Below are 12,806 nucleotides of genomic sequence, written 5' to 3'. Positions count from 1 at the left end.
CTCATTGAAATTGAGCTCAGATTCAATGCTTCATGGGTTTCCTTTAGCCTGTCCCCTCCCAAGCTGGCCCTTCTGCTTGATTTGCTTGATAGAGACTGCACTTGGTACTAAGAAGAGTTGGCCACACAGTGAGTGGGAATATACCTTCCACAGGTGATTCTTACACAGTCATTTAGCTAAATACCATCAGCAATTGGTTTCTCCCATTTGGACACCTGGAGAGAAAAGTAGTTATGATGTCTTTGTGTATAGTCCTTAAAAGAGCAAAGAAAATATAAGGCAGAAGGAACATTGTTATATTAGAAGAATTATTATTTGCATTTGTGTTAAAAAACCCAGTTTGTAATGAACCTGACTTATTCTTTATAATCTCCATATATAATGCAGGAACCATTTTGCTTATTATTGGCTGAAAAGTCCCTGAAAACAAAGGCCTTTTATTCATTTATTTTTCCTTAAAAATAACTCATTTGAAGAACAGTACATGTTTATTATAGAAAAATAAGAAATACACTGAAAAGAAAAATAATAAAATTCCACAATCCCAACCACGTATAGACAATCACTGTTAATAACTTCATGTATTTACTTTTCTTTTTTCTCTTCTTTCTCCTCCAGATTTCTAAAATGTGTATACTTACTGAGTCTTATTCTAGGGAATGTGAACATTGAAATGAACATGAGAGACGGTCCATGTTGTCATGGCATTTATATTCTAAATAGGAGAGACACACAGTAAATAAACCAAAATTAAATTATAATTGCTGTTTAGAATCTAATTAAACAAGGTGATAAGATAGAGGGTGTCTTGTAGGTGGGGGTTCAATAATATGGCCAAGGAATGCCATTTTGAGAAGGGGAAATTTTAGCAAAGACATAAAGAGGAATGCACTCAGGTGTGACATGTCTTGGGGAGGGGCTGGTGCATGTTAGGCAAAGAAACAGACAAGGGCTAAGGCCTTGAGGCAGGAAGCAACTGGGCATGTCTGCACAGTAAGGGAAGGAGGGCCATTGTGGCTTGAATGTCAGTGAAAGAAAGCAAGATGGGAGGTGGTGACAGAAAAGAGAGGCAGGTAAATGGTCAGATTATGAAGGTCCGTGTAGGTCAGATTATGAAGGTCTGTGTAGGTCAGATAAGGAGTTTGGATTTTACCCTAAGGTCAGTGGGTACTGTTAGAGCAGGAAAAATGATATGGCTGACTAGTTTTTAAAGAATGTCCCAGTGGCTCAGGATGTGAGCTCAGCAATGATGTCAATATATAAAAATTCACTGCTCATGTGTACCAGCAATGAACAATTGGAATTTGAAATTTGAAAATAATACTGTTTACAATAGCACTAAAAGTTAAAGAAGCATTTAGGTATAAATCTAATAAACTTTAGGTAGGATCTGTATTCTGAGTATTATAAAACATTGATGGAAATTAATCAAAGAATATCTAAATAAATGGCGATAGTCCATGTTTATGGATAGGAAAATCCACTATGAAGATGTCAATTCTCCCCAATTTGATCTACAGATTCAATGTAGAAAGTTTTTGTAGATAGCTACAAGTTTATTCTAAAATGTATACAAAGAGGCAAAGGAATTAGAATAGCCAAAACAAACTGAAAAATAACAAAGTTTAAGGACTCACACTATTAATTTTAAGACTTATTTTGAAGCTACAGTGATCAATGCAGTTTGACATAGATCAGTGGAACAGAATGGAGAGCCCAGAAATAGATCCACAAAAATAAGATGATTTTTGAAAAATTTTCAAAGGCAAAGTTTTTGTAAACCAGTTGGATGTTCGTGCACCAAAAAATGAACCTCAACATATACCTCATTTACAAAAACTAAAGCAATATGAATTGTAGACCTAAATGTAAAATATAAAACTATAAAACATACAGAAGAAAATAGGAGAAAATCTGTATGACAGTGGGTTTGGCAATGACATTTTAGATATGACAACAAAAATGTAATCAATGAATAAAAGGATAAATTGGAATTTATCTAATTAAAAATTTGCTTTATTGAAGACACACTTAAAAGAATGAAAAGAAAAGCCATAGACTAGGAGAAAATATTTGCAAATCACATATTTCATAAAGGGCTTAGATCCAGAGCATATAAAGAAGGAACTCTAAAAACTGAATAATAAAGTAAATACCTAATTTCAGGAAATAAGCAAAAGAGCTAAAAAGATACTTTATCAAGGAAGTTATCTACCAATAAGCATATGGATGGCAAATAAGCATATGAAAAGATGCTCAAAATTATTAGTAATAAATCAAATAATAACAGCCAGATACCACTTCAGATGTGTTAGAATGACAAGCAAGCAAACAAAAAAGTCCTCTGACATTATCAAATGCTGACAAATTAACATAGCTGCTAGAATTCAACTTCATTGCTAGTGAGAATAAAAAATGATACAAGCACTCTGTAAAACAGTTTGGCAGTTTTTTATAAAGTCAGACATACACTGAATACACAACCCAGCAATTCTACCCTTAGGTATTTACCAAATGAACTGAAAACTTACATTCACACAAAAACTGGTATGGGATGTATTATAGCAGCTTTTTTATAATTGTCAAAACCTGGAAATAAATCCACATGTCCTTCAATGTATGAATGGATAAACTGTGGTCCAGTCAAACAACAGAATAGTACTTCACCCTAAAAAACTATCGATATACAAATATTAAATGCATTTTCTTAAGTGCACAACGCCAGGTCCAAAAGGCTAAGTATAATATGATTTAGTTTATATGACAATCTGCAAACCCAAAACAAAAGGATGGAAAATTGATCCATGGTTGCCAAGTGGTGGCATATAGGGGAGAAGCTGACTGTAGGGGCCACAGAAGGGAACTTTTTAAGGTGATGGAACTGTTCTTTATGGTATTGTTGTGGACAAATACCTGATTCTGTGCATTTGTCAAAACCCATACTACTGTACATCACAAAGAGCGAACTTTACTGTGTGCAAGTTAAAAAAAAAAAGTCAGACCAAAATGTTGGTGGAAGGGGCTGTGCCAGGACAAAATACAAGCTGCCGGGAGTGTTGGCAGCTGATGGCTCTCAGTGCCACTGCTCTCCAGGAATTCAAGACAGTTGTCTTGAACAACTTCACAGGCCCTCCTTGAACAACTCCTCATCCAGTGACTAGTCAATATAGGCATATAAAGGTCTGAGCACACTGCCTCAATGGGGCATCTCGGAAGGGCCAGCCTAGCCTTAAACTCTCCAGGGAATTGGTGGGAACCTTTTATTGCAGCTGCTTCATAGTTCATTGACCCTTCAGTCCTGCTTCCCTCACCCCTCACAGGGGTGGATTTTGAATACACTCCCCAGGGAGCCTCCTGTACACAAGCCTCTGTGTCAGAGTTTGTTTTCTAGGTTCCTGACCTATGACAGTTGGTACAAGAGTATGTAAGGGAATGGCTCTGCCATTGCACCCTGGCAACCTTGCACCTTTCCACCTTTCTGGCCATGCAAGACAAGGTCTGAACCCTAGTTAATCTGAGGCTTGGTGGAATGCCTTTGATCCTCCAGGATCAAGAAGGATTTGAGAGGCTTGTAAGGAGCTGCAACAAGGCCATCTCTCACTCACCATCTTCTCTTCTCTGGGAGGCTCTCATGAGTCAGTTCGTAATGGCTGCCTCTGTTCTGATAAGGTATAAAGCTTTCTGCCATGCTTCCATCAGAATACAACTTTAGAATATTAAACCACTTAGCTTCAATATAGAATTGGCTCCTTAGCAACAGATTATCCCACAACTCACATCGCAGTCATCCAACGTGTTTTGTTTGGTGTCATCCTATTTGGAGTGTGGAACAGGGATTGGGGTGCCTTTGGCTAATCTCTCTTTCAGTGTCTGAGTACTAAACCATCTGAATCAAGAAGTGGATTACTGTGTCTTTACCAGTAGAATCAGTCAGTTCTTGCCTTGTCTTATGTGTGCTGTCCACTTCCATCCAAAAGATGCAGAGAGACCAAGGATGGGCAATTCTGTGGGAGCCTAGTTTCCTGAGTCCTGGAAGAGGAACCGCTGATGGAAACCTGAAGTCTGCAAGAAGAAAAAAGCATCTTTCCTAAGGAAATTTAATATATTGTCAGATCCCTAGAGGAACCGTGTTCAGATTTTGCTCACAGAAGTCTGTTGCATAACTGCCAGGGAGGGTGGGGTGCCCTGAAGCCTTAGCATGCTCCCTCTGTAGTCTCTGGGGAGCACCAGCCCAAGGGGTACTTCTCGCTGGTACTGGGACACCATGTTTAGAAGGATTCAGAGGCTCTGTGTGCCCCACAGACAGTGAGGGCTACCTGGGTAACCACTCTCTGTGGTCTTTCCCCAGTTCCTAGAACTTTCCTGCTTCAGGACCCGAAGGTGCACATTCAAGAATGCAGGAGGAGTGATCTCCTGCTGTGGGCACAGGTGTGTATGGGGAGGGATGCGCAGGGGCACAGTGACACTCTTTTTTTTTTATTATTACACTTTAAGTTCTAGGGTACATATGCACAACATGCAGGTTTGTTACATATGTATACATGTGCCATGTTGGTGTGCTGCACCCATTAACTCGTCATTTACATTAGGTATATCTCCTAATGCTATCCCTCCCCCCTCCCCTCACCCAACGATAGGCCCCGGTGTGTGATGTTCCCCTTCCTGTGTCCAAGTGTTCTCATCGTTCAGTTCCCGCCTATGAGTGAGAACATGAGGTGTTTGGTTTTTTGTCCTTGCGATAGTTTGCTGAGAATGATGGTTTCCAGCTTCATCCATGTCCCTACAAAGGACATGAATTCATCATTTTTTATGGCTGCATAGTATTCCATGGTGTATATGTGCCACATTTTCTTAATCCAGTCTATCATTGATGGACATTTGGGTTGGTTCCAAGTCTTTGCTATTGTGAATAGTGCCTCAATAAACCTATGTGTGTATGTGTCTTTATAGCAGCATGATTTATAATCCTTTGGGTATATACCCAGTAATGGGATGGCTGGGTCAAATGGTATTTCTAGCTCTAGATCCTTGAGGAAAGTTACACTCTTAAGTAGTCACCACATGTGAATCGTCAGAGCATTCAGAGCCAGCCTTGCCAGTGCCTGAGTAGTTGTCAGGTGGTCAGCAGGCACTGACACGCACTTCCAGCCCATTTGGGGGACATAAAAGTAAACTGATAATGTTTTCTTTTGTTCCTTTTCAAAGCTTCAGTTTGACAGTTTAAGGCCTAGAAATGTGAGTTTGAAGGGTTTGTACTTCCTCAAGAGTTTATAACATTCTTCTTGTCATTAAAGCCTCAAAACTTGACTGGAGGCAAGTTTGAATGATGAGTGCTTTGGAGAAAATGACAAAACTAGAGAAATACAAGGAAACAGATACATAAGTACCATAAATACACAAGTACAGCAAAACTGCCTTTGTGGAGCAGAGGTAAAGTTTCCCAGTGTTGTATTGATAATTTGAGTTTTATAAACGTATTTGAATGTAGTAAGAGAAATGACCAGTTGTGAAGTGTAAATGGATTAGACAGCAATTCAATATTTATTGCTTTAAAGACTGACTTATGTAATAGCAAGAAAGAATAGTGAAAATTGAATTGCAGCAAAGCTCGTTGGCTTCATGTTTTGGACCAAAATGGTTCCCTTTTATAAGTGGAACATAGTAACCTCATGGTAGGCAAAGTTCTCTGATGACCCCCAAGATTCCAGCTCCCCCATGCAGATATCCTGTATATTCTTATCCCCTAGAGGGTAGGCTGGACCAGCGAATATGATGGAATGTCACTCTTGTGTCTAGGTTACTAAACAGCTGACTTTGAGCTAATCAAAATAGAGATTATCTGGGTAGATCTGACCTTATTAGTTGAGCCCTTTTAAAGGTGGGTGGAGCATCAGAGAGAGGCTTTACTCCTAGCCTGGGAAGGAGAAGTAAACTGCTTTGGAGTGAGAGGGCCTGTGAGTGGGTGGCCTGTAGGAGCTGAGAGTGGCTTTGGGCCATTAGCCAGCAAGAAATAGGAACCTCATTCCTACAATCACAAACAACCAAATTCTGTTTGTCTCCATCCAATGAAATGTAAATGCAGGGCTGGGCCTGGCTCTGGGGGGCTGGCAGCTTAGGGACATCATGAGGCCACTGGTGTTTAAAGGTGGGAAGTGGAGGGAGGGATATAGTGGCTGAGGGAAGCAGCAGTAACCCAGGGTGATTTTTCTCAGTCCAAGTGAAATGAAGATCAATCTGTAATCACTGTCTACATCTCTTTGCAACATGCAATGGGTCTGTCCAGGGGAGAGGGGGCTGGAGAAGGAACCTTTGAGGCCAGTGAGGATGCTCTGCAGTCCTGATTTAGGCCCAGGGAAAGAAGAAGAGACCCCTGCAGACTCCCCAGCATGGCTAGACTGAGACTGAGGCCTCAGCACACTGGAAGTGGGAAAGATATTCAGATGCTTTTGCTGTCTGGTCGTTCCAGTGTCAAAGGCCGTTCTCATTGGGATTGAGCTGCAGAATCAGGGCTTTATGACCTCCCCCAGGCTGCCCCTTGAAGGCAGGCACCGCTGACTCCCCGCACTGACACTCTGCTTCAGCAGGGTCACTCCTTGCTGCAGCAGCCACAGATGGTTCAGGTCAAGAACAGCAGGACAGGTTGCTTGTTTGCTACACGGGGAACATAATTGGCACTGTCTGCTTAGCTCCTCATAGATGATATTTGGCTTTTCACAAAGTAAGCCACCACAAGTTGGGTGAGACTGCTGGTCTTGGGACAGAGATCGTAGTTGGTTTTGGTCTCTTCCTGGGTGCTGCCCCTGTGCTGATTGTGTCTCCTTGTAATGTGCCATGGCAAAGATGTGAGTCACTTAACAATGAGGGACATCCCTTCAAATGGGATACCTGGACACTCTCTGCTTCAGCAGGGGCATTCTTTGCTGTGGCAGCCACATATGGTTCAGGTCAAGAACAGCAGGAGAGGTTGAAAGGCAAAGGCATGTTTATGTACACTCTTGGCTTTTTTACCTTCTGTTTTGGGGCTGTGAGCTTGTAAATAAAATGTTCTCAGCCTGGTGGCTCTGTGCGTCAGCGCTGCCTTGTTGTCACTTTAAATAATTGAGTTTACTATCGGGTGTTTAACTCAGCATGTTAGCTGAGCTCTCCCTCTGTCTGAGGCACTGTAGACTGAAGAAACTGACAAGCTGAATGATCTCCCCTTTCCTGAGCTAGAGAGTACTTGAGCTGTTCTCTTTTCCCCTCTCCAGTTGCCTTAGAAGTGGTGAGATGGGAAGCTGCAGTTGGAAGACCCTGGAGGATGCCTGACAAGGGGATGTCTGACACATGATTGGAGCTCTTTTTGAAATGTTTCTTGCCCTTCCTGGAGCAGAGGAGCCATTATTTATGCAGGTAAAATAAGATGAACTGTTACTTCTCTTGAATCATGTGAGTATGAGAAGAATGCCTCCCAAGAAATGAGAGGTTGATTTGACAGACTCAGTCTTGTCACATTTTGTGGAAGTTAAGCCTGTGAGTTAGAGGGCAAATCCCAGAGCCCAGTGCGTGGCAGATTGTGATCTTCCTCATCGTGCCTGCACCGCCGGGGGATCTGCATGGATCACCTAGACAGGCACTGATAAGGTAGAACATGGTAATTCATCACTAAGTTTGCAGTTTTTTCTCTTTGGTTCTTTTAAAACTGATTTTACAGTCATAAAGTTTGGTGAGGGAAAGACTGGATGGGAATTTCGGAGATGGGAAGAGAGGTGTAATCTGGTTCTGGGACGTATAGTAAAATGTGCCATTTGGATTTTACAAAGACACAGAAACTGTCTTCAAACCTTGGCAGTTCATAAAATCCGATTGCATATTGTTCACCACAATCTTTATTTCTCTGAGAATAAAAGATTCAGTTAAGGAGATCCTCTCTCTGGGGCAAAACCCAACTCTTCTCATGGCATTTGCCAGGGCCATAGCAAGGTCCCCATCTGCACCAAGAGTCTGAAGGTAAAGATAAGTTTCCCGGGAGCGGAGCAGAAGGAGCTGTGGAGGAGGCACAGAGATGGGAACTGGGTCAAGTAGGGAGCTCACAGGCTTATGTAGTTTTGGATCCAGGATGCTTCTGTCACCAGAGATGCAATTTAGCAGGCATCGGGGTGTTTGCACCATTTGTTAGTGGTTAGTCACAGGTGTTAGTCACAGGATGGGCAGTTCGCAAATAACTGACTTGGGTGAAAGTCCTTGTGGATGTGTATTACAGAGAATTTCCATAGAGAAAAGGCCAGCCCCTGTATTGGGAATCGCATTTTGCAAAGTTGAACTCACTGATTCTGAGCACAGTTGCTGCCTACCTTTTGCCATCTGGAACACATGGCCCCATCCCTCTCAATACTCTTAAGCAGTCACCACATGTGAATCATCAGTGAGATATTGCTTCGAATGAAAACATCAACACAAAAATCAGCCCCTTCCTTAAATGAAATGCAACGGGATTTATTTGCAGATCTTTCAGCTGACAGCCAAAATCATGGCCTTTGAATAATAGAGTTGGGGGACTGGGAATGGGGAACAACACATCATTTCAGAAGGTTCAGGAAGGCTGGGGGTGGAAGAGCATTGGACTTGGGAAGCAGGAGATGGAGGGAAGGATTATAGAACTAGGTCCTAGTTTCTTTGCTGCCAGTGACTTGCTGTGTGACCCAAGGGAGTCACTTCCACTCTCTGAGCTTTAGTTTCCTCATCTTTCAAACAGAGGTTTTAGTTGTTGCCTCCTGGTTGCCTTCATTGCAACTCAGAAAGATATTACTAAAACACATTGGAAGTAGTTAAATGTTGGTGACTTACAAGCAATGTAGAAAGTATGCATTCTTTTTAATAAATGAAATAATATTGGTCAGGGTTTAACTGCTATGTCTGAGTCACTGCACTGTCTAAATTTAGAGGCTCAGTCAGAAAAAGTGAGTACCAGACTGACAAAATTCAGATTTCAGTCATTGATCATAACATGTGCCAGCACCTAATAGGTTCTAGGTTCTCTGATACCTAGGGTTGCAGAGCTCCTGCCCCCACAGAGCTCACAGACACCTTGAAAAAGCAAACTTTAAATGCACAAGCCCACAGACTATCAAACAGCAATCAGGTAACCACAGAAATAGAGGGAAACCGAGAGATGAAGTAGTCACCCCCATGGGGAGGGTCCACAGGGCCTAGCTCCTTAATGATGACTAAGCTTATTTAGGGTTATATCCCTCTGAACCCAAGTAGGGACTACAGACATCTGCTACCACACCTGGCTAATTTATTTTCACTTTCATTTTTAAAATTTTTTGTAGAGATGGGGTCTCACCATATTGCCAAGGCTGATCTCAAACTCCTGAGCTCAATCCAATCCTCTTGCCCTACCCTTCCAAAGTGCTGGGATTACAGGCATGAACCACTACACCTAGTCAACAATTCAAATTTCCATATAGGCACAAACAAAGGGCATGGATACATAGGGAGAGGAGCAATTAACACGGGAGGGAGAGAGGTGGAAATCAGTGAAGGTTTTATAAGGACATGGCATTTTATTGAAGTCTTGCAGGATTGGTGTTTCAGCAGATAGAGGAGGCGAGGGACAGGGAGGGCCATCTAACCAGGTCACAGGCATGAAAATACATGGGGTGTGGGATAATGGAGAGGGAGATGAGGCTGGAAAGATGTTATGTTGAGATATGGGCTGGATAACACATGCGAAGGGCCCAGGGTACAAAATGTAAGGAAACACTCATTTTCAGGATTGAGCAAGTGTAGGGTTGGTGCAGAGGCTGTGGCTTTTAAGCAGAGGACTGATTTAAAAATTTCCCATATAGGGGACTTCCACTTATGGGAAGAGATACTTTTTCTTATTCTTCCTAAGTACAACTAAAATCCATGGACATTATATATAAAACAAACATAAGACTTGAATAGGTGGAGAGAAGAAGGAAGGCTAGCTAGGGACCTTGGGATCAAAGTAATAGCATGGTAGTGAGTTCCCTAAGTTTTGCTTTTTGTCTCGGATTCCTAAACTTGGAGCTGAAGAAGTGAGCAACTTGGAAACACCAATGGGTTCAGACAAAAGAGCCCCACCAAGAAACTGGTTTTTCTGGCCAAAAGACCAGGAAATGGGCAACTCAACAAGACAGAAAACTTTTAGACAATAGCTTCTGCATTCTAGGCAAACACCATAGAAAAAGCTATGGCCCTATCCCAACTCCACCAGCGAAGACTGAGTAGAGAGCCTAGATGTCTACTGTTACCAAGCTGTAAAGAAGTGTCCCAAAGCACCCCTCCACCAGGGTGGTGTCAGAGAAGGCTGAATAAAGAGCAGAGACTCACCTCTGACCCCTGTGGTATCAGTGGAGACCCCTTGGGGAGTCTGGATTTCTTCTCTGACTCAATAGATAATGGGGCAACTTTCCACTTAACTTCTGGGGTGGCATCAGAGGAGGCCTGGTGAAATTTCATGACTTTTATTATCTCGCAGTGGTAATAAGGCCACCTCCACTGCAGTGTCAGTGGAGACTAAAACAGAAAGGAATTTTCCTGTTGTCTTCATTATAAGAACCTGGTGAGTTCCTGGAGATATGACTCATGAATGTGTGCCCCCACCCAACAAAACAAAACAAAACAAAATTGGGCCCTCAGGAGTTTTTAAATATTCCGCTAGTCCCTATTCATCATCCAGGAAGACATCAGTTACCATGTAAGTGTTCTTACCAGTTGCTGGCTCTGGCAATGGCTTCTGCTCCTAAGCTGGGATTCTCTGTATTCACCTCTCTCTTTAGTTTTGGGGGTGGCTGTTTGCCCTGTGACTTCAATTTTCTGGTTGACTTAAGAGTTGTTGATTCAGCTTTTATTCAGCCACTTTATTCAGCTTTTTACTTGTTGTGAGGATGGGAATGATGACTCCCAAGCCCTTCACATGTTTGTGCAGAAACCAGAAGTCCTGTGTTCACTTTTACCCATTTTTTTTTCTTTCTGTATTGCAGTTTGGATAATCTCAACTATCTTCAAGTTCACTGATTCTTCTGTCAATCCCAATCTGCTATGAAAGCCCTTCTAGTGAATTTTTCATTTCAGTTATTGTAGTTTCCAATGACATAATTTCTATTTGGTTATTTTGATAATTTTTATCTTTATTGGTATTTTTTATGATGAGACATTATTCTCATATTTTCCTTTAGTTTTTTGGACATGGATTCCTTTGAACATATTTAAAAGACTTTAAAAGTATTTTCTAGTAGGGCCAATGTCTGGGCTTCTTCCAGAAACAGTTTTTATTTATTGCTCCCCCACTCCTTTATGGGCCATACTTTCTTATAGGCTTTTTTGAAAACTGGACATTTAAAATAATATAACATAGCATCTCTGGGAATCAGACTCTTAACTAAAACTTTTCTCTGAGGGAAACAAAGCCTGAAAAGGGGAGATTGAGTATTCCATGGCTTAAGAGAGTATTTAGGCATATCTACTTCCATTGGTGCTAAAATATATCTGGAAGTGGAATGGAATTCAGAACTCCATGAAAGAGAGCTGGTGTCCAGAGCGTTGATGTCACACAGCGTGTGTCCTGATTGGCACAGAAGTTGGAACTAGATTGTGGATATCCATTCTGCTAGCTCTGCTGGAAGACTGCTTCTAAAAGCAAGCTCTTCAACTTTGGATGTTAATCATTAGAATTTTCTTTCTCAAATTAAAGGTTTGAGAAATTCGTGATGAGATGTCCTGTTCCCTAAAGTTTACTTTGATTGTAATTTTTTTTTACTGTTGGCTTTCATCCAGCCATGAGGAGTTAGAAGGTGGTAAGTATGCTTTGGCAATCAGATTGTTTATTCTTCTCCCCTGACTCACTTTTTCCCAGTTTCAGAAAGTTAAACTAATTTATTATCTCAAATTGGATTTCTTGGGAGAATTTAAGATTTAGGAGGAAAAATGCCAGTTGTCAGAGGAAGAATTGTAAAGTTCTTTTCCTAAAACATGCATCATTTACAAAATGGATTTGCATATTCTCAGTATTGTTGGGACAGTAACATTTGGAAACAGTCATTTCCACAGAAGAGCTTTGAGCCTGATATCCAGTGGGGGGTCATTTCTGACTCTGAAAATGAGTATAGCTCAGGAGGCCCAGGTGCTGGGGAGTGACGCCATCAGCTCCACTGCAGGCCTGCTTGTTATTTCCAGCCGCATATCACACCTGTGAAAGGGAAAGATTCTTCCCACTGTTTGTCCTTCTGATAGCCTTCTCTCTGGACTTTGCATTTCCATTCCTTTTCATTGACAAACTGACTTTTTTTATTTCTTTTTTTCCATCTCTGGGCCAGCTTGGGATCCTAGGCCGCCCTGGGAAGACATTTGTGTTTTACACACATAAGGATCTGTGTTTGGGGTTTCTTCTTCCTCCCCTGACATTGGCATTGCTTAGTGGTTGTGTGGGGAGGGAGACCACGTGGGCTCAGTGCTTGCTTGCACTTATCTGCCTAGGTACATCGAAGTCTTTTGACCTCCATACAGTGATTATGCCTGTCATCGCTGGTGGTATCCTGGCGGCCTTGCTCCTGCTGATAGTTGTCGTGCTCTGTCTTTACTTCAAAATACACAACGCGCTAAAGTGAGTCACAAGTTCAAAATAAACAACGTACTAAAGTGAGTCACATGGGGAAAAGGGGATAGCACTTCCTCAGTGGGATACCTGGGCTTCCTGTTGGAGCAAGGTCATTCCTTGCTGCTGTGGCCATACCCTGGGTGAAGTCAAGAAGAACAGGCAGCTTTGTAAAAGCAAAGACAGCTGAGTGTAGAATCTTATT

General features: G+C 41.9%; 1 protein-coding gene and 1 long non-coding RNA gene across 4 annotated transcripts in view, besides 2 other annotated features; both read left to right on the top strand.

Moving 5' to 3' along the window:
* FAM24B-CUZD1 (FAM24B-CUZD1 readthrough) overlaps positions 1-12,806 on the top strand; it is a 47,487-nt gene that overhangs the window by 16,608 nt on the left and 18,073 nt on the right. The window contains exon 2 of the long non-coding RNA NR_037915.1: positions 7,248-7,389. This is a non-coding gene — a long non-coding RNA (FAM24B-CUZD1 readthrough). The remainder of the gene's footprint in view (positions 1-7,247; positions 7,390-12,806) is intronic.
* FAM24B (family with sequence similarity 24 member B) overlaps positions 1-12,806 on the top strand; it is a 30,564-nt gene that overhangs the window by 16,608 nt on the left and 1,150 nt on the right. The window contains exons 2-3 of one of the 3 annotated variants that reach the window (NM_152644.3): positions 7,248-7,389; positions 12,484-12,610. In NM_152644.3, the coding sequence (NP_689857.2) occupies positions 12,519-12,610 (92 nt within the window). In that variant the 5' untranslated portion in view covers positions 7,248-7,389; positions 12,484-12,518. The remainder of the gene's footprint in view (positions 1-7,247; positions 7,390-12,483; positions 12,611-12,806) is intronic. The other 2 variants (NM_001204364.1, NR_037911.1) reach the window with 2 other exon arrangements.
* Positions 8,047-8,341: a silencer, noted in NCBI's record as "tiled region #14360; K562 Repressive non-DNase unmatched - State 15:Elon". NCBI's record gives its function as "represses a minimal TATA promoter and a strong SV40 promoter by Sharpr-MPRA in K562 cells {active_cell/tissue: K562}" and the evidence as "EXISTENCE:reporter gene assay evidence [ECO:0000049][PMID:27701403]".
* Positions 8,047-8,341: an enhancer, noted in NCBI's record as "tiled region #14360; HepG2 Activating non-DNase unmatched - State 23:Low". NCBI's record gives its function as "activates a minimal TATA promoter and a strong SV40 promoter by Sharpr-MPRA in HepG2 cells {active_cell/tissue: HepG2}" and the evidence as "EXISTENCE:reporter gene assay evidence [ECO:0000049][PMID:27701403]".

Source organism: Homo sapiens, chromosome 10 (assembly GCF_000001405.40).
Source record: "Homo sapiens chromosome 10, GRCh38.p14 Primary Assembly".
NCBI lineage: Eukaryota > Metazoa > Chordata > Mammalia > Primates > Hominidae > Homo > Homo sapiens.
This window is presented reverse-complemented; position numbering and strand designations above follow the sequence as displayed.